Source organism: Homo sapiens, chromosome 10 (assembly GCF_000001405.40).
Source record: "Homo sapiens chromosome 10, GRCh38.p14 Primary Assembly".
In the NCBI taxonomy this organism is placed as follows: Eukaryota; Metazoa; Chordata; class Mammalia; order Primates; family Hominidae; genus Homo; species Homo sapiens.
Genome location: NC_000010.11, coordinates 129,655,382 through 129,683,216, shown reverse-complemented (window position 1 = coordinate 129,683,216; position 27,835 = coordinate 129,655,382). Strand labels below are relative to the sequence as shown.

The 27,835-nt window shown below is 42.5% G+C and overlaps 1 protein-coding gene across 1 annotated transcript in view, besides 1 other annotated feature; it reads right to left on the bottom strand.

The window, feature by feature from the left end:
- Positions 1–27,835, bottom strand: part of MGMT (O-6-methylguanine-DNA methyltransferase) — a 303,743-nt gene that overhangs the window by 87,767 nt on the left and 188,141 nt on the right. The window lies entirely within an intron of this gene.
- Positions 6,717–7,290: an enhancer, noted in NCBI's record as "H3K27ac-H3K4me1 hESC enhancer chr10:131474191-131474764 (GRCh37/hg19 assembly coordinates)". NCBI's record gives its function as "activates a minimal SCP1, AML or CMV promoter by ChIP-STARR-seq in primed H9 embryonic stem cells {active_cell/tissue: H9 hESC(primed)}" and the evidence as "EXISTENCE:reporter gene assay evidence [ECO:0000049][PMID:30033119]".

Here is a 27,835-nt window from a genome sequence, read left to right as displayed (position 1 = left end):
CTCACAGCAGCAAAGCCAACGCCATTCCCTGCTCTCTTGTCCATTTTCTCTTTTTAAAAATGGGTATGGGCTGGGCGTGGTGGCTCACGCCTGTAATCCCGGCACTTAGGGAGGCCGAGGCTGGTGGATCACTTGAGGTCAGGAGTTTGAGGCCAGCCTGGCCAACATGGTGAAACCCCATCTGTACCAAAAATATGAAAATTAGCCGGACATGGTGGCGTGCGCCTATAATCCCAGCTACTTGGGAGGCTGAGGCAGGAGAATCGCTTGAACCCGGGAGATGAAGTTTGCAATGAGCCAAGACTGCGCCACTGCACTCCAGCCTGAGTGACAGAGTGAAACTCCGTCTCAAAAACAACAAAAAACTGGTATGTAAAAGGCACAAATTTTTTTAAACTTTATAGTTTGAAATTGAAGATTCACAAGAAAAATATTAGTGACAGTTCCCAGGCACCTTCATTCAGCTTAACTTTCTACATAATCATGCGTTACCAAAACCAGGAAGCTGGCATTGATACAATACATCTAACTAAACTACCTATCTTATTTGATGTCACCAGTTTTTACAAACATTTTAAATTCTTATGTATTTTTATTTTTAATGGACTTTTAAAAATTATGTTTTAAAATGAAATTTTATAATGTGTTTAGATTTACATGCACAAAACCCCAGACAGGATACTGAACTGTCTCATCACAAAGACACCTGTCAGGCTACACCTACGAAGTCATCTGTCCCCAGTCTCTGTTAACCCTTATCTCTTCCCCATCACTGCTTGTCATTTCAAGAGTGTTACATACAAAAAAAATCCTATCTTTTAGGATTAGCTTCCTTTACTCCACCTAATGCCCTTTAGATCCATCCAAATTGTACCGTGTATCAATAGTTGGCTGCTTTTTATTCTGTTTTCATAAGTATTCCATTGTATGGATAGACCACAGTTTGCTTTTTCTTTCATCTTTGGAAGGACATCTGAATTGCTTCCAATTTGGGGGTCACTACAAATAAAGTTGACATGGACACTTGTGTACAGTTTTTGTGTGGACATAAGTTTTCCTTTCTTTAGGATACAAGAGCAGAAGTACAACTTCCGGTTCCTGTGGAAACAGATGCTTAACTTTCTGGGAAGTGGCCACGTGGTCTCCGAGTGGCTGTAGGAGTGTGTGGTCTCTGCGTGGAACCTCACTGAGGCTCTGATTTGCATTTCTCTGTTGGCTAACAATAAACATTGTTTCCTGTGCTTATGGTCCTACGTATCTCCTCTTGGATGAAGTCTCTGTTCAGATTGTTTGTCCAATTTCTAGCTGGAATGTTTATTTTCTTATTTTTGAGTTTAGAGAGTTGGTTTCATGTTCTGAATACAACTCCTCTGTCAGATATGGGATTTGCAAATACAGTTGTTCCTCGGTATATGCTGGTGAGTGCCTCCAGGATTTCATGGATACAAAAATCTGCACCTACACAAGTCCTACAATCAGCCCTGTAGATTCTGTGTATATGAAAAGCTGGCCCTCCATATACACGGTTTTCATATCCTGTGAACACTATATTTCCATCCACATTTGGTTGAAAAAAATCCACATGTAAGTGGACCCACAGAGTTCAAGTCTGTGTTGTTCAAAGGTCAATGGTATTTTCTCCTGGGCTGACTTGTCTCTGTTCTCTTTTTACAAGACCTTTTGCAGAGCAAAAGTTTAGGAACAGAATTTTTTAAAAATATTGATCCTTCTGGAATTCTCCTGCTCTGACAAGTTTCCAGGATGAGTGATCTCTCTTATAGCTGAAGAGTCACCTTGGCCGTCTTTCAGCAGAGGTAGCCAGGACCATGGGCGTCCCCACAGGAAGCATGGTCTCTATGGGACGGAAACATGGCGTGCTGCTGAGCCATACTAAGGAAAACGTGATTCACATGAGAAATACACTATATATCATCATGGCATTTAAAATGTCATTTTCCTTACCAGCTCAAATGAATATTTACAGTGCCACAGCGGGGCACACGTGTGGAGTGACATGGAAGTGTCCCAGTCCACAGCGCACCCGGTGCTACGGCCACAGGTGGAGACCATCGGACGACAACGCCGCCTGCATGGTGCTTCCTGTCCAGCACAGGAGACAGACAGGTAGCAGCCGGCGCTCCAGTGTTAGGCCACAGGACACAAAGCAGGGCCACAGCACAGGCAGCACTGGTGGTGGGAGCAGTTTCAGAGGGAAATTCAGGATGGCAGCTACCACATTGTCTCAGTACAAGGACTGCCAGCAGCATTGCATGGTGGCGACGCTTTACTGATGGGGTCGCTCAGGAAGCACGCACAGGCAGCGTCCACACAGCGTGCCCAAGGCCCCTGTGGGGAGGCATCAGACACGGCCGGCACCCACATCTACCCTCACGGAGTGGCGATGGCGCTGGGCACAAGGGGCCACAGGCACACGGGGGAAGCAGCAGCCACGTCCCCACGGGGGCAAAGGAGGGTCAGGGAAGGCTTCCCAGAGCGGGTACCTGAGGAAATACCTGACGACTGGTTAAAGGAGCGGGAGGCGGAGAAGGCGGGGGCCAGTGTTTCAGATCCAGGGGAGAGCATGCTCCAAAGTCGGTAGAATTCCTGAACCTTCCTGAATCTTCCCTTCCACGCCTGGATGTCTTAAGGAGTGGTGGGTGGATAAGACGGGGGCCAGTGTTTCAGATCCGGGGGAGAGCATGCTCCAAAGTCGGTAGAATTCCTGAACCTTCCTGAGTCTGCCTTTCCATGCCTGCATGTCTCAGTGCTGGCGGGTAACCAAATACAGATGCCTAGGAGAAGGTGGTTTCTCCTCTCAACAATTTCCACAACCCACTGCAGCGCTGGAAAGGGGGCTTTATTACAACACAACTACAATCTAGCACGGGATCCCCAAAATCATGCCCGCGAAATAAAATCTGAACTCAGGCTGACCTGTGTGCCAGGAGATTTTAACTAGCTTGTCTTGGCTTTCCTCAGCTTGTACAATTCACCAACCTTAATGAAAATTCACAGAAAAGTCTACAAGTCATACAGTCGGTTAAAAAAACCTCTTCCTTGTACTACAATAGCATGTGATCGCTGTCACAAATCGATAGGATATGAACGAGAGGAATGTATGGGGTCTGCGACTGCTGGGCTCGTTGGCCACTGAATTGCACCATTGTACAGCACTCGCCTGTCTTTCCTTTCTAAATCGAAGACATTTTCCAGCCTCTACACTTAAACTATGGGATTAGGATCAGAATGGTATAACGGAGCGTGGAATGATCTGTTCAGTCACAGTAATTTTGGAAAAATTCCTTTTAATTTTGTGACATTTTTGTATTCCCATGAAGTACATAGGAGTTCTCTCTATAACTATAAAAATGATGTGTTGTCTGGTATATGCGACACTTCTGACTGGAACTTGCAAAGGAAGGCATTAGGTTTGTTTTCTATGACTAATTTTTTTGTTTCAATGGCATCGAGGTAAGATAAGATGGCTGTAAGTCCTCAATGCACCAATGCTGAATAAAAAATAAAATCTTTCATTAAAGGATAAAAGTAGAGCCTGGATTTGTTTGCTGAATGTTAACACCTAACATAAAAATACCCCACAGCACGTCCCGACATCAGGCTTCCTAAAGGATATCCTATTACTTCATTCAAGACAGAAACTTTTAATAAATATTGTACTAATATTCTTAATTACATACATTTCCATTGAAACATACCAACATTTCTCAAGCTGTGCTTTGCGGGTCCCTGGAGTCACATGGGCTGCCTCATGTGTTTGTGAAAAAAACGCTCTTTGGTCAAGTAATATTGTGAAACACCGGGACTCAGACCTCATGCCAGTTGTGGAAGCCCGCAGGGTCCCACAGCGACTCGGACCTCACGCCAGTTCTGGAAGCCCGCAGGGTCCCACAGCAGAGGGGACCGGTGTTTCCCCAATCACTTTGTTCCTAGAACCCTCAAGCACACAAGGACCGCATAAATTTTGGGGAATAGATAAAAAGTATGAAATTTAATCAAATCAAGTTTTCTAAGAAAACACATTAATCTGAACTGCTTGCTTGTAAGAGCTTAGAATAAAATCTTGTAATCCTATGACTAACATTTACTTCCTATCAAGAATATCACGATTCTTTTTTTTTTTTTTGAGATGGAGTCTCAGTCTGTCATCCAGGCTGGAGAGCAATGGCATGATCTTGGCTCACTGCAACCTCTGCCTCCTGGGTTCAAGCGATCCTCCCACCTCAGCCTCCCGAGTAGCTGGGATTACAGGTGTGCACCACCACGCTCGGCGAGTTTTTGTATTTTTAGTAGAGACAGGGTTTTGCCATGTTGGCCGGGACTGGTCTCGAACTCCCGACTTCAAGTGATCTACCCACCTCGGCCTCCCAAAGTGCTGGGACCACAGGCATGAGCCACCATGCCCGGCTCTTCCTAACAGTCCCTTATGGCTTAGCACCACATGCACTGGACCAAGTCTACACCCGGTGCACACGTAGCATAGTGGATCCTGTGTCATTAAAACATTAGGGAGTGGATTTCGCCCCAGGCACTGAGGGTTTGGTTACATTTTTTACATGCAGTTTAGGGTTCAAGATAAATAACTTACAGTGTGTCTCCTACAGTCTCAACCAAAGGATGTATTTTCCCAGGGAAGACGCTTGTTTAGTAGGTTAAAAGTCTTTCCTGCTGCCTGAGGTAACTGGAGGTGATGCATGCTTTCTAACACAGCCCCTCCAAGAGGCAGAAGCAGCTACACAAGCTTGGCAAAATGCGGCAGGGAGTCACCCAGCCCTGGCAGCCCTCCAATCTGCACCAGCAACAGCATCGGGCACTTGTTCCTGCTCAGAGAAGGAAACCCAGCCAGGGCAGCGGGGCCTGGAAAAGTGTCCCTGACAGCAGCCCTGGCAAGCTCCTGCACCTGCAGGAACTGAAAGTGCAGAAACAAAGGCAGCCACCACTGGTGGCTTCATTCTGAGCTTGGAGACACAGTACTCATCACTCCAGGCCTCCAAAACAGGGGCCCCAAAGTCCTTTCTCTCTCCAGCTTGAAATCAGAAATAATGTTTCCTGCATGGAGCCACCGAGGCGTTCTTTCCTTGAGCCTCCTCTTTTCAGTTTTACGCCCAGCCTTCCCGAGAGGAGCGTTTCTGGACAATGATGAAGGACGATGCCAGGCAGCCCTCCAGAGTTACTGTGGACTCGGCATTCACAATCTGTCAAGGTAACTTTATGACCTCATGGCTGGCTGGTGTAATTCCAGTAATGACCTACAGACACCAAAACAATCTAAACTTATCACCGCTCCTCTTATGGCCAACAACCGGCCTCATCAAAAAGCTGAAGGGCAGTGCTGCTGGTGGGGACAGAGATGCCCCCGGAACCTGGCCTGATTCTTGGTGGTGCTGGCAGTGGCCTCGGTGACCTGTTCCTTCGCCCCCGGCTGGCCCACACCCTTCACCTGCTCAGGGCTTTGTGGGGGGCAGTCCGATCACAGCCAGTACCTCCTCCCAGCAGACAGAGCACTTCGCTGGGCTGTGCGCCCTGACTAGTGTTAGAGCAGGGACGAGGAGGCAGGCAGGTGTTGAGCTGGCCTGTCAGGTGGGGACATGGTGGGGGCAGAGGCACTGCTTACAAACAGACTGGGTGAAAGACAGGCCCTCAACTCCAGGTTACATGGGATTTTTCAGATCTGGACATTACCCAGGCACCTGCTATGGCTTCCCTTTAGAGAAACAGAGAGATGAGGCATGGCTGCGAAAACCTGAGGTTGGCTATTCTCTACAGGGCAGAGATGAATACAGAAGTTAGGGACCTGCTGATTTATGGTAACCTTGGGAATTAGGAAAGCTTAAATGTGTTAGCATAGGCCAACTCAGGTCAAGCTAGAAATAAAATGGTATTACATAAAATCATTAAAAATAATTATAAATAATAGAAAATGCTTATAAATAATATAAGACAATTTAAATCACAAAGGCAAAAGACATAAAACACTATAAAGCTGAAAATGAAAATATGTGCATTAAAATTGTCTTTAAAAAAAAAACACATGTGTTTCATGTAAATCAACTCCTATCAGTCTTCAGCACAAGGGCCTGTCATTTCCCTTGGCCCATCAGAGACACCCACATACCACATGCCCAGGCTGCAGAATCAGCCGCTTTGCCCCTGGATGGTTACTACTAGCACGCTGATGGTGGAAATGGCTTTGGCATCCCAACTTAGCTATGGGTAAGATGGTCACCATTTCAGATTTACTGAAATAAGGACCTTGAGGACTCCAATTAATAACTCTGCTTTTTCAATGTTTTTTTTTCCAAAAGAAAAATACACTCATAATGCCCAGTATCTGTGATTTACTGCTTTATGCTATACAGAATTCTCTGTGCTAAAAAAGTAAAGTATATGAGGTCATTTTACTTCTAAAATCTAAATGTAATGTATGTATCTGCTTGCATATTTACCAAGAAATTCCCAATGAGATAGAAAATTTCATTTCCTCATGTGCTTTTTCTGCAGAACAATCATTCTTAATGGTTTCTTTTATTTAAAAGAATCCATTTATCAATTTAAAAGTGATTATAATTATCAAATGGTTATTTTTTATTAAACAGACTGTTCTTCCAGCTGCAGGCTCCATGTCACGTGCAGAGCCTGGTGTGGCCCAACCCCTGCAAACACGTCGTCTTGCTGATCTCAGCCACTTCCACAGGGACCCTCGCAGAGTACGCCGCAGAGACGCAGAGATGCACCTCTTCACAGAAGAACACTGGCCAGAGGGAGAGGGTCCACTGCGCTTGCTCTGCCATGAGCCCTTCTCCCCGCAGTCATCCCCATGGCCCCAGCGCTGTTGCCATCAACCTGTATGTTCACAGAAGGAACTGGTGGGTGCCGCCCACACCGAGCCTGGCCAACCATGACAGCGGCCAAAGTGTCCCATTACCAAGGAAATGAAGGTCGGGGGGCGGCCACAGGGAAGAGGAAGTGAAGGAGGCTCAGTAACATCCGGCCCAATGCCCTGGGGAAAGGCGGGGGTGAGTCCAGCCTTGCCTTCCATTGATTCACGCACAGGATGGTGGCTTCACCCCGACTCCCCATCTGGGTGTGGGACGGCCACTCCTGGGAGTTACAGGAGAGGTAGGGTGCACCCTGCTCAGCCAATGGAGCCCCTTCCCTCCCTCACTCACATGTGCTCATGAGAGCCCGGCGCAGTGCCAGGTAGCAGCTACTCAATGGTGACACATGGCCGGGACCTTGCAGAGGCCACAACTGAGCAGCGCCTGCCCCTGAAATCCACCAGGTTTTGATTTAAGGAAAAGGGACCTGGTGGGTGTTGTGAGGAGGGGGTGGTGGCTGCCACAGGGAAATGGGCTCTGGCACCCTTTTTCCCGATGGTTCCACCAGCCTCTGTCACCACGGCCTGCTCCCTTGGCGACACCACCTACTGGGTCTTTCTCTCTTCTCCCTGATGCTCTCACCCAAGGAGATCACAGCAGCAGCAGTGGGTGTGTGGCTCTCAGGCCATATCTCTGACACATGCTGCTTCTCTGAGCTCCATGCCTGCATGCTCACGGATCCGACCCACTGGTTCCCTGGACCTCAACAAGAGCAGGCCCAAGGTTGAAGCGTTGTTCCCGCCACTCCTGGCTTCCTGCTCTGTTTCCCCTTCTGATGGGGACTCCCCTCCTGCTAGTCACACATGCCAGCAACACGGGCCCACGCCTGCCTTATCCTCCTCTTTGGCCCTATTTAATCACAAAGTCCTCGTTTTCACTCCTAACTCTTCCGGCAATCTGTCCACTTACAGACGTCACTGCTGTCATCCTTCTACTAGTCTAAACCCAGTCATTCCCTGCCTAGACCACCATGATGGTCCAGTAACTGGCCTGCCTGCATCTGCCTAACCTCTCCAAATCCAATGTGCTCACCACACTACAGCCAGGGTGAGGACTCGAGACGAAACTCCTCTGGTTGCCCGTGGCTTCTCCATCCAAATGGCCTCCTGACACCCTCTCAAACCTCCCAGTGTGCTGGGCCCTTGCTCCCGCCTGGCCCTCAGCTGGGTCCTCTGTCCTGCTGCTTTGCACGGCAAGCACACAGGTCCTCCTCGGGTCCCCCAAGTGCAAGGTGGGGTCCTTCTTCACAGGCACTCGTGAGCTCTTACTTGTTCCACGTGGTTCAGATCTCATTTAAAAGCTACCTCTCAAAGAAGCCTCCTCTGACTCTGATAAATGCTCCCACGATGCCTCATACTTCTCCTGGGCAGTGCCTCTCTCAGCTACGACTGAGCCACGCTTTGTTCATTAGTTGTTGAAAGTCACCCTCCTCCCCTGCACTGTGGACTCCAGGCGGTCAGGGAGGCCACATCTTCATCTCTCACTGCTGTGTTCCTAGCACGGACCCCAACAGGTACTGATGCTGGAAAGATATGGCCCACAGAGGGCTATGGACCAAGAACATGCAGGATAGAGCCCAGGGGAGGCGAAAGCTGGGGGCATCCCAGCTACTCCACCTCCCCCAGGCTGCTGTCACCAGAGGACAAAGCCACCAAGGTTTTCCCATGCTTCCTAGAAATGTGTCTTTTATTTTTCCTTTGGAAACTCTTTTCACCTTCCAGGACTGCACTTGGTTTTGGTATCTGGGTTACCAAAGAGAAACACATTTGCATTTCCATCAAGGCCCTGCTCTCAAAGATAAGCAAGGGGGTCCATGTGGCCATTAAGAGGTCAGGAAGGAGCAAGAGTCCACTCAAACCACAGCTGTCCCTAGAGCCACTTCAGGGGCAGGGGCAGGAGTGCAAAGCCAGATCCCTGAAGCAGATAGCCGATTCGTGACTGGCTTCCAGTTCCCACCGCTAACGTGTGTGGCACTGAAACATCACATCCAAACAATGCAGCTTCCAAACTACCGTCAGTGAGGAGTTTATACTATTTTTTTTTTTTACAACTGGCTTGCAAAATCAGTGAAAATTTACTAATTTTAAGGAATTGGTAACCTCAGAATTAGAATAAAAAAGCATTTGAGTGGTTTCTAATTGTATGACTTTGGTCCCCAAAGCAATATGCATTAACATCTTATGATGACATGAAAGAATTCTGGCATTTAGTTTAATAAAAAGAGACAGTGGCAACAACTTCCTGTAGAATCAAAGAGAGCTAAATCAGAGGAATGAGGGTGCTGCCTTCCTACAACAGCCAAGACAATTGCTATATGTAAGAGGTCTCAGGAATTAAAATTCAGTTACTTGTTCAAACCCAGACAGAAGCAACCACACTGCTGCTTCAAATCAATACTTTAAAATATTAGTAAAAGGACTGGGTTTGGCAGAAAGGTAGGAAAGAAAGGTAGAAAGGCAGACTTTTTTCGCACGAGCATCAACTGAGATATTAACAAAAGTCATATTTAGTAAGCATATTTAAACTCACATTAAATACCACATAAAACATAGTTTCATATGATCCAAAAAATACATACATCCCATTAAATTTTTAATTCCCACTAATTTGAAATTACGAGGTGGCAATTTCTTCAACTAATAGATCCAGACCAGGAGAACTTGCAACCCCTGAATGGGCATCAAGCCGATGTGGACAGAACCAGAGGGCTGGTCCTTGGCCAGTGCTCACCTCCCCCAGCCTCCAGCAGAAGACCAAGGCATGGGGTGGTGCATCAGGCAGAACTGGAGCTCAGCTTCATTTGCCAGCTGGGCTCGACCGCAAGGTGGCAGGCACTGCGAGGAAGACACCTTAACCAAGACACAGAGACTAAAATAAAGTTTGGGGTGGGAGGGTGTGTTTGCACATACAAAATTTTGCTTGTTGCAGAGAAATGCTGCATGTCTCAGAAAGGAAGATGGGGAGGTGGGCAGGGCTGACAGAAAAGTGGATTTGTTGTTAGTGTTGCTTATAACATGATTTTTTTTTTTAAATTGGGATGTGGGATTTGAACTCAGCTTTATGAAAGGAGTGGGTCATATTCTAAGAGCAGACAGCGACAATTTTGGGCCAGCGTACAGGAGGAAACAGCAGCACAGGAGCTGCCCCTACCCTGGGATGAAGCACCATTCCTGCGAGGTGACTGCCCTGGGGCAACAGACAGTGTCTTGCAGGGTCCTTTGAGCACCCTCAACTTGGGGGAAGAATCTGAATGGCCACCTTGTAGGAGTAAAAGTGAGCTGTCACTAGAGCAAACCTCAAAAGAGCCACAGCCCTGCTCTGATCGTATTAATCCCTAGGGTTAGAATGAGCTGATCCCACACTGCCGGTGCCCCAAGCACTGCTAGAGGAAGAAAACATCCTCCCGGGCAATACGTCATTTCTACACACTGTTTCTCCAATGTACTAATATGGCACAAAATAAAAAACAACTAGACCCATGAGGAGATAAGACAATATGAACAAAAATGGCAGAAATAAAGACAAAAAATAGATCACAGGGATTCCAGGTGTTGGAATGTAAAATAACTATGCTTTACTACCTTCAAGCAGGAAAAAAGCTAAGATCTCAAATTCAGGAAAGAATCACCAACTATTTAAAAAAATGAAAATACTAGAATTGAGAAATCATTGAAATAATGTATTCTATGAATGGGTTTAAAACCAAATTAGGCACAGTAGCAAAGAAAACTAATGAACTGTTAGAGCGATCAGAAGAAATCAACACAATGGACCCCACGGATATAAAATAATGGGAAATAACGGAGAACAAGAGATTTAGAAGATACAGGGAAGTGTACCGATGCGTAAATGGGTTCAAAGAAGGAAATTCAAGGGAATGGAGCAAAAATAACCTCTGAAGAAGTAAGAGATGAGAACATTCTGAAACTGTTGAAAGACATTGAGCTATAGATTCAGGAATCCCTGTGATCTCAAAGCAAGATAAATAAAAGGTGTCCACACCTAGTCAGATCTCAATTTAGAGAAAAGACATTACTTGAAAGAAGAGCTGACTTCTCAAGAAGAATGATGGAAGCCTGAAGAAAAAGTCACAGTATCTCTGGATTCTGAATAAAATAACTGGAAACCTAGACCCCTATAACAAATGATATAAAAATACAGATACAATTAAGACATTTTCTAAAAAAGAAACTGAAACCAGAACTTGCCAGCAATTCCCTGTGAAATGAAATAAAGGCAATGGTGTACTGATAAATGTTTAGCTGGCATTCCAAAACAAGTATTCATGTAGATGTGCATTTCTTAAAGAATAAACTCTACTGATATAAAGGATGTGAAGTATACAATTTACAAATAATTCAATACACAATACTCTTTGTTGTAAATTCTGTATAGCCAGCTGATTCTTATAGCATGACTTTGTTGATATTTGCCAAACTCATGTCCATAGCCAATCTGAGGTTGCAACTGGTGAACACACAGTTCTACATGAATGCTGCAAAGTGACGAGACAGAGGTGATGAAGATGTTATGTCAGAACTTCACGTGTTCGGCAATGACGTGAGCGATTTCTTTGTTGAATGAGATGATACTTTTAACCACTGGAAGAGGGGCTAAATTTCTGGAGCTATTCAAAATGTAACAGTTACACACAAGACATCTGAAAATGAATGCACCTTACTAACATCTTCTCCATCACATTTTGAAATCTAGATTTTGGTTGGCAAACATTTTCTCAAAGGGCCAGATAGTAAATATATTGTGTTTTGTGGGCCGGAAGTCTCAGTTGCTCCCACTTGACTGCTACTGAGCTATGAAAGCAGCCACAGACAAGACATAAACAAATGAGTGTGGCTGTGTTGACAAATACTTATTTACCAAAAAAAAAAAGATGTCCAGCCCCAGCCCCAGGCCATAGTTTACCAACCTCTGGTCTAGATAATCAAATAAACTTCTAATTAGTAGCATTTGCTAATTTCTGCTGTGTAAATATTCCTACCAGGACTGACTTCAAGCTACCAAGGTGACAGCACTAAATGTGGAGTATCACAGCATCATAAAAATGGCCTCCAAGGTATGGATAACAGCACAATTAGTACAATAATTGGAAGGAATCAGTTTTGAATGTGTGTTCTCTTTCCAAACATAATGTATTTAACTGTAAATTTATGTAATTCGATTTTTACTAATGGGTGTGTTTGACAGCCAGCTCATAAAATTCTCGTAAATTAAAGAACTGGCTCTCGGAGCTGGCTGGCTTCAGCTTGCTGCTGCTGAAAAGGTATTCTTCAGGCAGAAGGAGGATTATCACATAAAGAAGGCTACAGACACAGAAAGGATGAAAAGAATAAAAATGGTAAATCTACGTGTAGCTCAAATGACTGACAGCATTAAACAATATTTTAAAGTCAAGTAAATTGAGATAATTTTCACATACAGAAAAATTAAATCTTTTCATACATACAGTTCAATGAGTACTGACATGTACAGTCATACAGGCACCACAGCAACTAAGTTACGAATTCCTGAGAGAGCTTTGATAGTTTGTGTCTTTCAATGATTCTGTCCATTTTGTCTGTTGTCACATTTACTGGCATAACTGTTTATAATATGTCCTTCATAATCTTTTAATGTCTGTAGGATCTGTACTTATTTCCTCTTACCACATCAATTTGGGTAATTTGTAATCTCTTTCTCAGTTTGAGTTTTATCATTTTTATTGATGTCTTCAAAACTGAAATAAGCTATTGGTTTCTTTGATTTTCTCAAAAATTTTTTTTATTTCCATTACATTAATTTATGCTTTTCATTATTGCCTTTCTTCTACTAGGTCTATGTTTCAATTTTCTCTTCTTTGTGGTTTCTTATTTTGAAAGCTAGATTAACAGCTGGCAAACTATGGCCATGGCAAGAATATTTTCAAAGAAAAAATTTTTAAATCCAAAGAAAAGATTTTCAGAAAAATGAGAAAGTACTACTTCGGTACAACCTGAAGTGGAATCTGCTAAGATGTGTTATAAGTGGTGGTTGTGAAATTGTGTGAAGCAAAAAAGGATTAGTTGGCTAAACTGAAAAACTTATGAAAATGTTAAGGCCTATGGTTACTATATTACCTACTAGCAGGTACTCTGCATAAAATATGTGAATCTGAATCTATTGCACATTATTTAAAGAGTGTAATCAATGGTGTACTTCATTGATGCTCACGGACCTAATGACAATCATTTCTATGAAATTTAGTCAGAAACTGAAGCTGGATATCCTGACATACTGTATCACAAAGCACTTCAATGACTTAGCAGAGGTAGTAACGTTTTACTGCAATTTTTATGGTTCAGGTTTGATATTAAAATTTTTCTGAATCAAAAGAATTTCCTTCAACTATTGTTATCAAACATTAAATAGCTTTGTAAATCGGACTTTATATTTTTTAAAAATAAATTCAACCTAAAGTTACAAGGCAAAACAGTAATTATATGCTTAAAATTCAGTAAAGTTATTGTGATGAAAAGTAACAACTGAATCATAAGAAACATCAGCTGTTCATTTACTTCTCCAGATTTCTATTCCCACAGAAATTTACAGTGGATATAATTTCTGAGCACAAATTACTGTTCTGGTAGTGTTTTGTTTTTTGTGGATCCCAAGGCAAGTACAAAAAGAAATCTCCATATTTCAAAGTCTTTTTAACTGTGCAATTGAAGAGCTTCCACCCAACCTTTAATTGGAAATTATTAATCTGCAGTGTAATGCCATGCTGAAAGAAAAATGTCGAGAAGAATTTAATAAAATTTTATAAATGCTTTCTAAGCAATACAAATGCTCAAATAAAATTGTATGTCTGTGGGTTGATCTCATATAGGAAACTGATGAAACAGAAAACAAACAAAAAAATAAGAAAAAGCAGTAAAACCAGAAGTGGGGTCATTAAAAAGGTGAGTAAAATTGGTAAGCAACCAGCCAGAAAGATCAGGAAAAAAAGGAAATTAGAGGTGGGCACAGTGGTGTGCATCCATAGTTCCAGCTTTTTAGGAGGCTGAGGTGGGAGAATTGTTTGAGTCCAGGAATTTGAAGCCAGTCTGGGCAACATAGTGAGACTCTGTCTCTTAACAAAAAAAAATTGCAGTAAAACAAAATAAGTTGATTTTTAAAAAAACAAAAATATCAGGAAACCTAGTGTCCTATAATTTTAAATCTTCTATGGAAATGTATAAGCCAAGATGCTTTCAGCAGCATGCTCCAACAAACACTTAAGGAAGCACTGCCAATTAATAAATGCATAACACTTACAATAGATTATATATATTTAAATATTCATCTACCTAATAATAAATCCAACAAAATGTATGCAAGACTTCTGTAGGGAAAGGCTTTAAGTCATGATTGGGAAAGATTAAGACAACCTCAACAAATGGAGGACTATAATATGTTTACAGATTTGATGACTCAAAATTGTAGAGATGTTTCTCTACAATTTCAAGAAGAAAAAGATTTTCTAAAAACCTTCTCTACATTTCAAAAAGAAAAAGTTCTTTTAAAAATTACTCTGAAACTGAAATGTGACAAACTGATTCATTTATATACTAATGGAAATGTCTTAACCAAGAATAACCAAGACAGTTGTAAAAAGAACAAATGAAGTACTTTCTCTATTAGATTTGAAAATTTGTTATAAAGCTACAATAATTAAAGTAGTGCGGTATGGTGGGAGAATAAGCAAATAGGACAATAAAATGGAATAGACAACTGAGAAACAGACTCATTTCACTTGTGACAAAGGGGTCACTGCATAGACATGGGGAATAAATGGACTTCTCAACATGAATAAATATCCATTTAGAGATGTCCCATGTCTCATGCTGTAAACCCAAACAACAAAAAACAAAACCAACTGCAACTGAAATCATAACTGTAAAGGTGAGAGCAAATAACTGTGACTTCTAGAACAGGAACAGGCAAAGTACAGCCTGGCCCACTCTGGCCCAGCATCTAAGAATGGTTTTTATACTTCTAAAGGTTATTCTTTTTTTTTTTTTAAGATGAATATGTAGCAGAGACTATCTGTGGTCCACAAAGCTTAAAATGTTTACTATTTAGTCCTTTACAGAAAAAAGTTTGCCAACCTATGGTCTATAAAACATAGGAGAATATGTTTTCTTCACGTTCTTATGGGAGAGAAAAGACTTCTTAAACCTGACAAAATGCACCAATCATAAATGAGGGGATTGACTAAAAACTACCTTGACATTAAAACCTTCTGTTCAGCAAGACACAATTAAAATAATGAAAGGCAAGCCAAAGAGTGGAGATACTTTCAACATATATGGCCAGCAAAGGATCCATATCTAGAACATAGAAATAATTCCTATATAAGGCAACACAATAAGAGAATGGGTGAAAGTCCTGTACAAATACTTTAAAAAGAGCAAATACAAATGGCAAATAATCATACAAAAACATATTCAACCACATTAGTCATTATAGAAATGAAAATTAAAACCACAATGAGATACATGAACACAAACACAAGAATGGCTGAAGAAGCTCCTAATACCAAACGGGCACCCGAGTGGAGCAACAGGCAGCCTCAGACATTGCTAATGGGCGCTAATCTGATGTTTAATCACACTGGAAAACTAACAATAATTACATCCATACCGTATAACCAGTGAGTCTGGAACTAGGACATACCCAGCAGAAATGCGTGCCTGTGTGCATCAAGAGGCAGGCAGGAATGACCACAGGCAGGGGCATCATTAGTAATGAAAATTCCAACTACCAAATGTCCATCAGAGTGGAAGATACTAATAAACTGTGATAAATTCACATGAAGGGACACTACACGACACTGGAAATGAACAAGCTACGGTGACATGCAGTTGTATGGGTGCGTCTCCCAAACATAACACTGGATTAAAGGAGCCTGCAATAAAGAAATATATAACATAATTTATTATATGTACAGTTAACAAAAAGTACAAGCAAAACAACAGTATCGTGTTGAAGGGTGCATACTTAGGCAACAACTCTATAAAGAAAAACCAGAAATTGATTACCAAGAAAACCCAGAAAAGTCGGAATAGGGTTACTTCTGGGAGCAGCAGCAGGAAAAGATGGGAAGAAACACGTGGCAGAGTTCTGAGGGGCCGCCATGGTTTGTCTCCTGATCTGCATGATGGTTACACAAAGATTCACTGCAGGCGCTTCTCTCTGTGTGTATTATCTTTATAACAAAAATGGTTAGAAACAATGGGTGACGCTTCAAACAACTGATTCTCAAGATGGTATGGATACAACTTCAGGGTTTGAGTCCATTTTTGGCAATATGACAGTCAAAGTGAATCTCAATTATGTAAGGCTGGGAAGCCTTCAACATGCACTGGTTTTCAGTAAATCACAAATGCTTTTCAGGTGTGGGAACCAAGCCAAGAACTTCCAGCAATCACCTGTTAATTACCATCTTATGTTTCATAAGCAGCAAACATTAGAAACAAAAACTTCTACAACTGTTGGGTAGGCACACCCCATCAACAGTATCACTACTCTCAGCATTGTTGTCTAGGTTCTGGTCAATGCATGACAAGACAAAGAAATAACAGATAAAAATATTAGGAAGGAATAAACAAAATTATCATTATTTCCAGGTATTATTAGAGAAAGTTAAAGAGAATAAATTGATGTTAGAACTAATAAGAGAATTTAGCAGAATGGCCAAGTACAAAAGTCAACAGCTTTTCTGTATGTCAGAAATAATAAATTAGTAATTTCAATGAGGTGAAAAGAGCTCATTTATAAAACAAACATTAAAAAATATATATGGCTAAACTTAGCAAAAAATATGAGTTCTATGACTCATAGTATAAAATTTTATGGAAAGACATAAAAGAAGTGCTGAATAAGTGAAAAAACAGCATATTCCTAGATAGGAAAATATCAGAAATATAAATTTTCTCAAAATTAACAGAAATTCATTGTGATCCCAAATTAATCTACATAGTGAATGCACCCTGAATCAAAACTGTAACTGGATTTTTAAAACGTGAAAGTTGACAAATGCATTCTAAAAGCATGGAAAAAGATATATGATCTAGAACACTGAAATAGTTAAAATTTGTTTCAAATAACGTTAAACTTGCAGAAAAGTTACAAGAATACAGAGAACACCAGTATATTCTTTACCTAGATTCACCTGTTTTTACCATCTTGCCACTGTTTTTTCTTTCTCTCCCCCTCCCTCCCCACACAAACATTATTATTTGTTTGTGTGAACCATTTGAGAGTTACTTTGGGTATATCACACATCTTATTTCCTAAGAATATTCTCTTAGGTAACCATAATACAGTACAGTTGTCAAACTGAGGAAATTCTACATCAACACAGTGCTTTTATCTAACATATAATCCATAGCCAATTTCATCAATTGTCCCAATTAAGTCTCTCCCACAATACACTTTCCCTGGAGTACAGGCACACGTTGTATTCAGTCGCCATGTCTCTTCAGTCTCCCTCAAGCTGGAACAGTTTTACAGCCTTTGTCTTTCATGACATTAACATTTTTTACATGAAGTAAAACTCACCCTTGTTGGTGTTTAGTTCTGTAAGTTTTGACAAACACCTACAGTCACATGACCATCACTAAGATCAAGCCAGAGTTCCATCATCCTAAGCACTTCCTGTGGTCCTTTATAGGAAACCTCTTTCCCCCTCAATCCCATCCCTCGCTACCACTGATTTGCTGTCCCAGTGGTTTTGCCTCCCACAGTCAGTCCTGTAAGTGGAGTAATGTCATCTCAGTGTCTGGCTTCTTCCACTATCAAATGCATAATGCCTTGAGAGTCATTCATGATGTTGTATGTATCAATTGTCTGCTCCTTTCTCAGGGCTGATCTGAACTGCATGGTAGGGATGAACTACAGCTTATCTACTTACTCAGTTCTCCAAGTGAGGGAATGGCTGTTTAAGGCTTGGGGAGACTCTGAGTAAAGCCACTTTTCTGAGTTAGAGAGAGAGAGAGAGTTGGGAGAGAGAGAGTTGGGAGAGGGGAGAGGATGGGTGGGTGAGCGGGTGTGGGGGTAAGTGAGTTGGGGGGTGGGTGGGGGAGTGAGTAGGTGGGTGAGTGGGTAGGTGGGGGGGTGGGTGAGTGGGTGAAGAGAGAGAGAGTGATGGAGTGGGTGGGTGACTGAAGGAGTGGATGGGTGGGTGAGTAGGTATCTGTTTTTGTTCACTTGAGTAAACATTTAAGTCAGATTTCTGTGCCATATGGTAAGTGTATGTTCAACTCTATTTTTTAAACCTGCCTGACTGTCACCCTGGTGGCTGTAATTCAGCATTTTCCCCCGCAATGGACTCTGGCTGCTCTGCATCTTCATCAGCACTTGGCACTGTCAGTTCACTTTAGCCATTCTAATAAGCATGTAGTGGAATCTCCTTGTGGTTTTAGTTTTCATTTGCTAAGGGTGAAGATGTTGAGCATATTTTCATATGCTTATCTTCCATTTATATGCATTCTTTGGTGAAGTGCCTGTTCCAATGTTTTGCCCATTTTAAAAATTGGCTTCTCTTCCCCCTGCTAATTCTGGGCTCATTTTGTATTCTTCCTTCTCATCCTGCTTATCATTCTTCTTGTTCTAGGCTCCTTTTGTGTCTTTGCTGCCCCCATCCTGGAATCAGCCATTTCTCCAAGCTGCACAAGATCCTTTTCAGTGGTGCATGGTATTTTGAAAATAAGACTGGGAACTAGGTGTGTTCTTTGTGACTGGGGTATTACTGCCTCTAGGCCTTTTTAGTTCTAGCTAGAGCTGGAAGAAGTGTGTACATATGTGCATGTTTGAGAAATAATGAGTCCATATAGATGATGCTGATTCCAAGTCAACTGCACCAACTTCTTCCTTGATGCCTACTCCATGTAAGTGTCCCTCTTCTTCACAGGGGGTTCTCCCAAACATCAACACACTTAGTCATTTTCTCAATCCACATACACATGAAATAATTCCACATCACTATGAAAAACAAAGTTATTAAGAAGAATATTTGTAGTTTTCCCCCTACAATTGAGTACATGTCATCAGAGTACAGTGTTTAAGTTACTTGCATTGGTACTTTTTTCCTTCCTTTTTGCATGATTATATTATTCATCTGCAATGCAATGAACAGATTTCCTAATACCAAACTACCCTTGCATTCCTGGGCATAGAAAGGTTATATTTGTTGAGGTATATTATACTACTAATGAGGTGTCGGAATCTATTCACTAATATTCATTGGGATTTCTGCATCAATATTTCCATATTATATTAGTTTTTATTTTCCTTACAATATACTATCTTTACCAGGTTTAGGTTTCAATTTGTACTTGCTGCATAAAAAATATGGGACGTTTCCCTTCATTTCTTATGCTTTTAAACAATTTATGTATCATTAGAATCATCTACACAAAAGATTTACTAGAATTCCCCTGTGAAAGCAACTGGGCTCAGACCCATTTTGTGAGGTAGTTCTTTGAAAATGTTCTCTGTTTCTTCCATGTAAATTGGTTTATTTAAGCTTTCTATCTCTACTGGGGTTAATTTTGCTAAAACTGGATTTTTCCTAATTATGCACTTCAAAAATGTTTTCATATTTATTTGCAAATTAGTCTCTTGTGCTTTTTAAAAACTTCTGTATCAATACTTATTTCCCTGTTGTCATTCTCATTTTATATATTTGTGTTTCCCCATTTTTTTCCTTGAATAAAATAACTAATGATTTGTCTGTTTAAATTTTTTTCAAAGGACCTAGAATTTGATTTACTGATTAAATAAATGCTTTTTCCTTCTCTACTTCGTTATTTTCTGCTTCTATTATTTCCTTTCCTATACTTTTTTGGCTTCCCTTTTAATTTTTCATAGTTTTCTGAGTTTGGTATTAATTCCATTTATTTTTCTTCCCTCATTTTTACTGATATAGGTGTCTACAGTCATGAATTCTCTAATCACTGCATTAACTATGCCTTTGATACACAGAGTTATTATTTTACAGACATTCTATTACGTTGGTTTATATTTACACTTTCATTCAAGAATAGGTTTTAAGTCTCTAGGTGGATGGGCCTTGTTTTTGTTAACAATTTATAGTTTTATTGCACTGTGATCAGAGAATGTTGATTGTAACAATTCTTTTATGAAACTTTTCTTCATAACCTAATTTTTGATAAGCTTTTGTAAATATTCCATGTATGTTGAGAAACAGACGTATTTTCTACTCAGCGAATGCATTTCAATACGTATCTGTGACGGGATAGGTTGTTTGGGTCTCCTGTATCATTCCTTACTTGTGGCCACTTGACCTGTCTTGTACTGAGAATAGTGTGTTAACATCTCTGACAATTTCCGTGTTGCTATTTATTTCTCTTTGCGTATGCTGTAGGTTCTGCTTTATACAGGTGGTTTCTGTGTTACATGGGTTTTATCTTCATTATGAGTGTGACTTTTAGCATTTTAAGGTGTTCTCATCTGTCTCTTATAATGCCTTTTTAGCCTGATTTCTGCTTGGTCTAATCCCAAGATGGCAACCCCTGCTTCCCTATGGTTTCATTTGCCTGATTAATCACCGCCCATCCCTTTGCCCTTCCCTTGTGAATCACTGTGTTTCACATGTGCTGCTCACATGTGCTGAGCTACGGGCTGCCTTACCAAGCCAACGTGAAATTTCATTTCCAGAAGCAGCTAAGCCCCCTGACAGTTCCTGACACAGCTTCCGCTTTGTCCTGTTGGCTGATGCTGGAATTGCAGTGAGGGTTACTGTGTCTCTTTAGTCTTCTTTGCTTTTTCTTTTAGGTTAATATTTTGTAAAGTGTTTTTATTCTAGTGGTACCTTTGTGTGTATATCTTTTATAGCGTCTGTAATCTAGGGTGACCAACTTGTCCCAGCAGTTTACCCAGGATTTTCCCAGTGTTAAAACGGAAAGTTCCGTGTCCTGGGAGGCCCCTCAGTCACAGGCGAGCTGGGATGACTGGTCACCCTATTTTAATTCCTTTTTTTCCTTGCCTAATCTTCCACTTCCTGGTCTGTGAGCTTGAAATAGTTTCCTTTGATTCCTACCTATGACCTATACAGTAGGGCATGATCTTACTCTACTTCCCCTAACCCCCTTTTTCTTTAAATTTTTATTATCCCTGTTCTGTCAGGCTATTTGTTTATGATTCTGCCTCCCGTGTCCCCACCCCCATTCTTATTTACAAACAAGAATGAAAAAGGACACATCCTCTACACGTGGAACTGTCTGCAGAGCCACATTACTATCAGGGAAGAGCTGGCCCAGGAATAGCAATGGACAGAACAGAGCCTGTATCTAGACCCACACACAGGAAAGGTCAGAATAAGATGAAGGGGACATTTCAGTGATGAGGGTAGATGACAGTGAAGCCTATGGAAAGGGTGTAGCAAAACCATCTATGTAGAAAAACCTTATGTCAGATCATTCTCAGGTCACACGAAAGCAAATTACCAGTAAATTAAAAATATTAAAACAAAACCGTAAGTCAAGATAGTCCTTTTTCGAAATCTTACAGTGGCGCTTCAAAGCAGGACTCAAAACTGGAAACTCCAGTAAATTGATCGTCAGATTAAATTGCGGAAAACTTTAAAACTCCAGCGTGACTAAAAGACACCACTAAACTGCTAAGAAAAGAGACTAGAATAAAATATGTATAACTTGTTAGACAAAGGACTAGTAGCCATACTGCAGAGTTACTAAAAGAAACAATCGAAAAAAGCAAAGAATATGTATAAGTAAATCAAAGGAGAAAAAAATATAATTGGCTAATAAACACAGAAAGTTGCACAACATCAATAGTTGTCAAATGTAAGCTTTTTGAAAAATAAAAAGCCATTTTAGAAATCCTCTGCAGAGGTGTGAGAAATGGACGCGTCTTTATTACTGCTGAGAGTATGAGTTGGTACAGCCTTATGAGGGGGGTCTGGGCTGCATCCGTGAACATTTAAATGTGTATGCCCTTCGGCCAAACAATTCCTCTCCTAGACGTCTATCCCACAGAAATACTTGCACACAGCACAGAAATACAGACATACACAAATGTTCATAACACCATAAAAGCAAAAAAAAAAAGTTGGAAATAAACTAAATTTCCACTCAAAGTGGGAAAAGTTAATAAATTACAGTAATCCATAATACAGAACCAGCTGCGGAAAGCCTATGATATATTAGGAAGTTAAAGTCCTACTCACAAAAGAATATACTATGTACTCTCCAGGTAAAGGCAGGTAAGAACAGGGAAGTATATTTACAACAGAAACAGATTTATAAGGTTGCATTCCAAAGGACTAAGACTGATTGCTTCTGGAAAGAGGATTTTACGGCTGTACTTCCAGAGTTGAAGTTTTTAAAATAATAAATTTGTGTTACTTTAAAAATTTTCAAGTCAAAGAAAGGAAAAACAATGTAAAATCAACAGTGACATACGAACATTCCCCAGAAAGAGATACTCCCTACTCCGGCTATGCAAACTGTGCATGTGTGTGCGTGTGTGTGTGTGTGTGTGTGTGTTGGGGGTGGGGGATCTTCCTCTTTGTGAAAAGAAAAGGTCTCCCTTGAAGTCTTTGCATATTTCTGAGGGGTTGGCCCCCCGCAACCTAAGCACATGCATTAATTTCACATTATGGAAACCCACAGCAGAGGCAGGAGAGAAAGATGGAATCAATTCAGATAATGGTGGAGGGCTCCATGTCCCTCAGCATGCTGAAGAGGAAGCAAGGCTGCTGGGACAGAAAAGCTGCCCTTCCCAGCCGACTCCCCACTGACTCTGTCAGAGGGTCCCAAGGCCTCTCTGCAGTGCTCTGTAGGTTCTTGGGTTTTTTGTCTGTTTTAATCTCAAGTTTGATGGGGTATCAGCTTTGTAAGGGCAGAAACTATGTTTTCTTCTTCCCCAAGGTGCTCCCCCACACCTTAGCCTCTGAAGAAATGGCTGCAGGACGCCTTCCAACTAGAACCCCTGAGACAGACCACAGGCGAACAGCACTCGCCCATCCGCCGAGATACCACCCCATGCTATCAAAAAGGTTAATGTAATACTTTAACTGCAAAAAGATTTACACCAGCACGTGTTCTGGGAAATGAAAAAGAAGGATTAATAAATGAGTGCTCAGAAACGAAACCACAATTGGCAGGGAGATGAAAAATCAGAATGGGGTAAAAGTGACAGGAGAGAAAGGAGGAAGTTATAAACTTAGCTCTGAAAAGACAAATGGCTGTTGGAATTGGCAGTAAAAAACCAAAATGTCGCAAGAAATAATTGTTCATTATTTAGAAGAAAAGCACCAAAGACCACGCAAATCCTTCACTGCACGGGTGATGAAAGAGAAAACACGGCCTCATCTTCCAGCATCTACTAATGCCATAGAGAGCTGGGGAGTGGGGCAGGGATATTCGGATGACCACCCTACGTCCTGTCGCCCGTGCCCAAACATCAGGTGCTGGGCATCCGCCATTACTCAATTTCAAAGGCAATCTTTAAGGAGGACTTTGGTTCAATTTAGACTTTTACTTCTGTTTTCGTGTCAGTCTATAAATGTCAGAACACTTTTTCTAAAGTTTAATACTGTTCCAGAAAAGCTCTCCTGGCAGCTACTCATGGAATATTTTCGGGCTAAACTGCTCTTCAAAATTTCACACAGTCATTCATCTTCAGGGCCTTTGTACATGCTACTTCCTCACCCCTCAATTTGCACTAACTCATCATTAAATAATAATGCCAGTAGCCTCGGAACTAATATGCATGCTGTGTGACTTTCACTTCTGTTCTCATGAGCAGGTACAATGGCCTGTGTTCTCCAGAGAGCTTGCCATGAAGCTAACTCCCTTACGCCGTGGATAGAGGCAGGATCTGTTCTATCTCCAGCCAAACGCATTTAGAAAACAACCCAGGCAGAGACAGCTACATCTGAGTATCTTTTTTTTTTTTTTCCACACAGGGAGTCTCGCTCTGCCACCCAGGCTGGAGCGCAGTGGTGCGATCTTGGCTCACTGCAACCTCCGCCTCCCAGGTTCAAGCAATTCTCCTGCCTCAGCCTCCCGAGTAGCTGAGACTACGGGTGTGCACCACCATGCCCAGGTAAGTTTTGTATTTTTAGTAGAGATGGGGTTTCACTGTGTTGGCCAGGCTGGTCTCGAACTCCTGACCTTAGGTAATCCACCTGCCTCGGCCTCCCAAAGTGTTGGGATTACAGGTGTGAGCCACTGCACCCGGCCTTGAGTATCTTCTGAAACAACATGAAGTCATCAGAACCAAGGATTTTTTTTTGTTATTGTTGCAGCCACAAAATCCAAAGCTAGTGTATTAAGATAACATTGAATGGTACCTATGCCACAGATGGAGCTAAAATGTATACAAGAAATTACAGCGACACCTGGGAGGCCTTGAATGCTACAGCTTACAGTAGCCTACAGGGGGCGTTTTCAGCCTTAGGGTTGGGCACGCGAGCTAAGGGCGAGAACAGCAGTTAAGGACACTGAGGAAGGGGCCATCTAGGCTTCAGGATGTTTGTAAACAGGCTGGAATCCAGCTAGCCAATCAGGTTAATACATTATGACACAGAAATGTGGTGTTAATTTCATTTCAATCAACTAAACTTACTTTCTTGCGAAGATAATTTCTTCCAGGACATGTCAAATCACTGCAGAACTCCAGGATGTGGTGAGCTCCCTTGCTTTTAAAGAGCAGGCTGGGCTTCAATTCTCAAAGCATGATATTAGATATTTAGATATGTGAAAAACTCACTGACGTTAATGGGAATAACATGGACTTTCAAAGCAAGATTTCAAAATGTTGGGGTTAAAAATCCTACTGAATTAGAATCAAATAAGTCTCTAAGAAATACTGGCAAGCTAACGCAGTGCATACCAGGCGTGCTCTGAGGGTCACCTGTCATTCAGCATTTTGGTGTTGCTCTCAATGCATATTTTATAAAACAAATAGAGTAGCAAATCCCTGTGTCTGTTTTAAGGTGGCAAGGCAAGGCGACGCTGTTCGTCATTAGTCAATAATAGAGCTGTGTTAGTCTAATGGTGCCGCTCTCCCTCCCTTGCAGACCTCCAGGGCAATCACCTGTAGAATTATCCCATCTGCTGCAGCGGGAGCCAGAAGCCCGTCTTCCATTTTAGTTCCTTACTTGGGATTCATAGAAGGGGGAAAAAACTCCACAATTAGGTCTTTCAAGAAAAAGAAAAGAAGCAAAAACAAAACAGCATAATAGGACCAGGGAGATCACCTTTAGGTTTTGAAAGACCCCCAGAGATTTGATGATCTTTGGGGGATGGGGGAGAACTACCAATCTCAACACCACATTAAATATACATTTACGAGAATTTCCTCAGCCAAAGAAAATAGGATAGAGGTGCCAATTAGGGAAGGGCCGGTTCAGGCTTTGCACTCATGGGATGGGGGCTCCTCACTGGAGGGTGGCAAATCCTCCCATTCCCAGCATCTCCATGACAACGGGGGCCTCATGAAGTCAGGCCACACTGCTAAGGGTCAGTGTGATGACTCCACACACGCTAAGAGGCCGCAGTCCTTGTGGGTCCTTGGGGGAGAGGGGGTGTGTGTGTGTGTGTGTGTGCGTGTGTGTGTGTGTGTGTGTGTGTGTGTGTGTTGGAGGAGCTGGCCAGCCTGTCCCCCCCCCAGCTCCAGCTCCTCCTCCAGGCTGTCAGAGGCCATTTCTTCAGCAGTCACCACATTTAAAACTCACCCCATCCCTCCTCCCTGCTTTAGAATTCTCCAAGACACTGACCAGCACCTGACTTTGAACTGTATTTTACCTGTTTCTTCTGTCTCACGCCTGCCCCACCTCCACCCCCAGACAAGACAAGGGGCGCCTCAGGGCAGGGTTTATCTGTTTTGTTTGTTGCTCCCCCCCCCACCCCCACAATCCCTAGAATGCAGGAGGTCCTTGCTAAGTATTTGTTACATTAATTAAAGGAAGCTGGTAGATTTCTGGCCTATTTCACAATTACTTGCCAATAAACAGTCACATACATGTGTATTCCTGAATTTTCAATGGAATGCATCAGATGGGTAGGAAAATCCCGATTCGAAGCACTTAAAACCAGCATGAGGAAAGGAAGCTAAGGGACAGTCGTCTGTGTCAACTCTGGGCAGGTAAACACACTTAAATCCCCAAGACAGGGTATCTGTCCCCAAATGAAACACAATTTGCAGTCTATGGGATCTTTTACAGTTACTTAGAACTTGCTAAGTGGTTGCAAATCCCTAGCCTAATTCATAGAGCTCACCTAACTCACAGTCATTGTGGCAGCTTTAGATGTCTTAGAAAATGAAGTGCACTATTTTCGCTGCCTTCTGCGTGGAAGTTCTTTTGGGTTAAGAAGCCCGAGAGTTGGGTCTGAGACGTGTGGAAAAACCCTCCTCCCAGCATGAAAGGAGAACCTTGGGGCCCCCAAATTACTAATCTAAAGGGGAAAGTCAAGCTGGAAACTGCTCAGGGCCAACCTGCCTCCCGTTGTATTCAGTCATCCCTCTGCTCACAGAGAGAAAGACATCTCTGATTGCCTCCTTTGGAGAGGCTTATCAGAAACTCGGTGCAACCACTTGACTCTCACCTACCTGTGACCTGGAAGCCCCTTCCCTGCTTCGAGTTGTCCCTGCCTTTCTGGACAGAACCAATGTACTTCTTACATATATTAATTGATGTATCATGTCTCTCTAAAATCTATAAAACCAAGCGGTGCCCCGACCACCTGGGGCACGTGTCATCAGGACCTCCTGAGGCTGGGTCACAGGCGCATGTCCTTAATCTTGGCAAAATAAACTTTCTAAATTAACTGAGACCATCTCAGATATTTGGAGTTCACACCAGAAAGGACATGCCGATGCTGCTTCCAGAGGCCTGGAAGTAGGCCCCACCCCTCCTCACCCTGCAGGAGGCAGTACCAAGGAACTCCCAGGGAGATGCCCAACCAGGAGCCCTCCCATGCTCGGGGCTGAAGCCCATGTTCACTGGGCAGATAGTGGCCACAACTGGTTCCCAAGAGAGGGGCTCTTGCTGCCCTCATGCCATGGATGTTTGTCACCTCCCGACTGCAGTCCAGACTCCACTGAAGATGAGTCCTGGGTGACAGCTTACATAGAACTGTAGTGCCATAGTCCTGAAGGGACTCCAGGAGGGGCACCGCACCAACTACCTCACCTCTCCTTGGCCTTTCACCTGGGTTCCCTGGAATCAACAGTCTGCATCTGTGATGTGTCTGGTTAATTCAGGGGTTGTCCGGTGAAGAGCTTGGCTAGCTGACCCTTCTGAGACCTTAGCTCAGTCCCCAGGCCAGGGCACCTCTGACTGCTGCCCGGCTAAGCTATCTGGGACCGCTGTTGCCAGTTTATTTAAACACGTGGAACTTCTCATCCACGTTCTTTCAGTGCAAAATCAGTGCCTGCTCTATATGGACACTGTGCGTTTCCTCCAGAAACACATGCGCTGTGTGTTTACCATGTGCTTTTGCAAGATTTAGAGAGCATGAGCATGAAGAGAAAATCCAAATCCATCCAAAGTGAAATTCCCTCCTGCTCACGTAACGACAACCCACAGCTATACTGAGGAACAGCTCCCTTCCTGCCTTCACTGTTAAACAGTGATTTTCATTTATATTTTTCTCCTTTTCAAGGGATTACAAAGTGTTTTACAAACTCATCCCTGTTTGTTTATGCCAGTCCCTCAGCCGGGCGAGTCACACACGAACATGCACAGAAGCCACGAGAGCTCTCCTGCAAGGGTCACAAGGAGACAACAAAGGTCTGGACGTTTAAAACTCAACGGGGAAGATTTTCCTGCTCTCCCCACCAGCTTCCGGGATGAGGCCCTCTAGAAGCGTCAGGGTCAGCGCCTTGGAAAATCAGACCTTAATGGGTTTTAAAAATGGTAATGTGTGAAA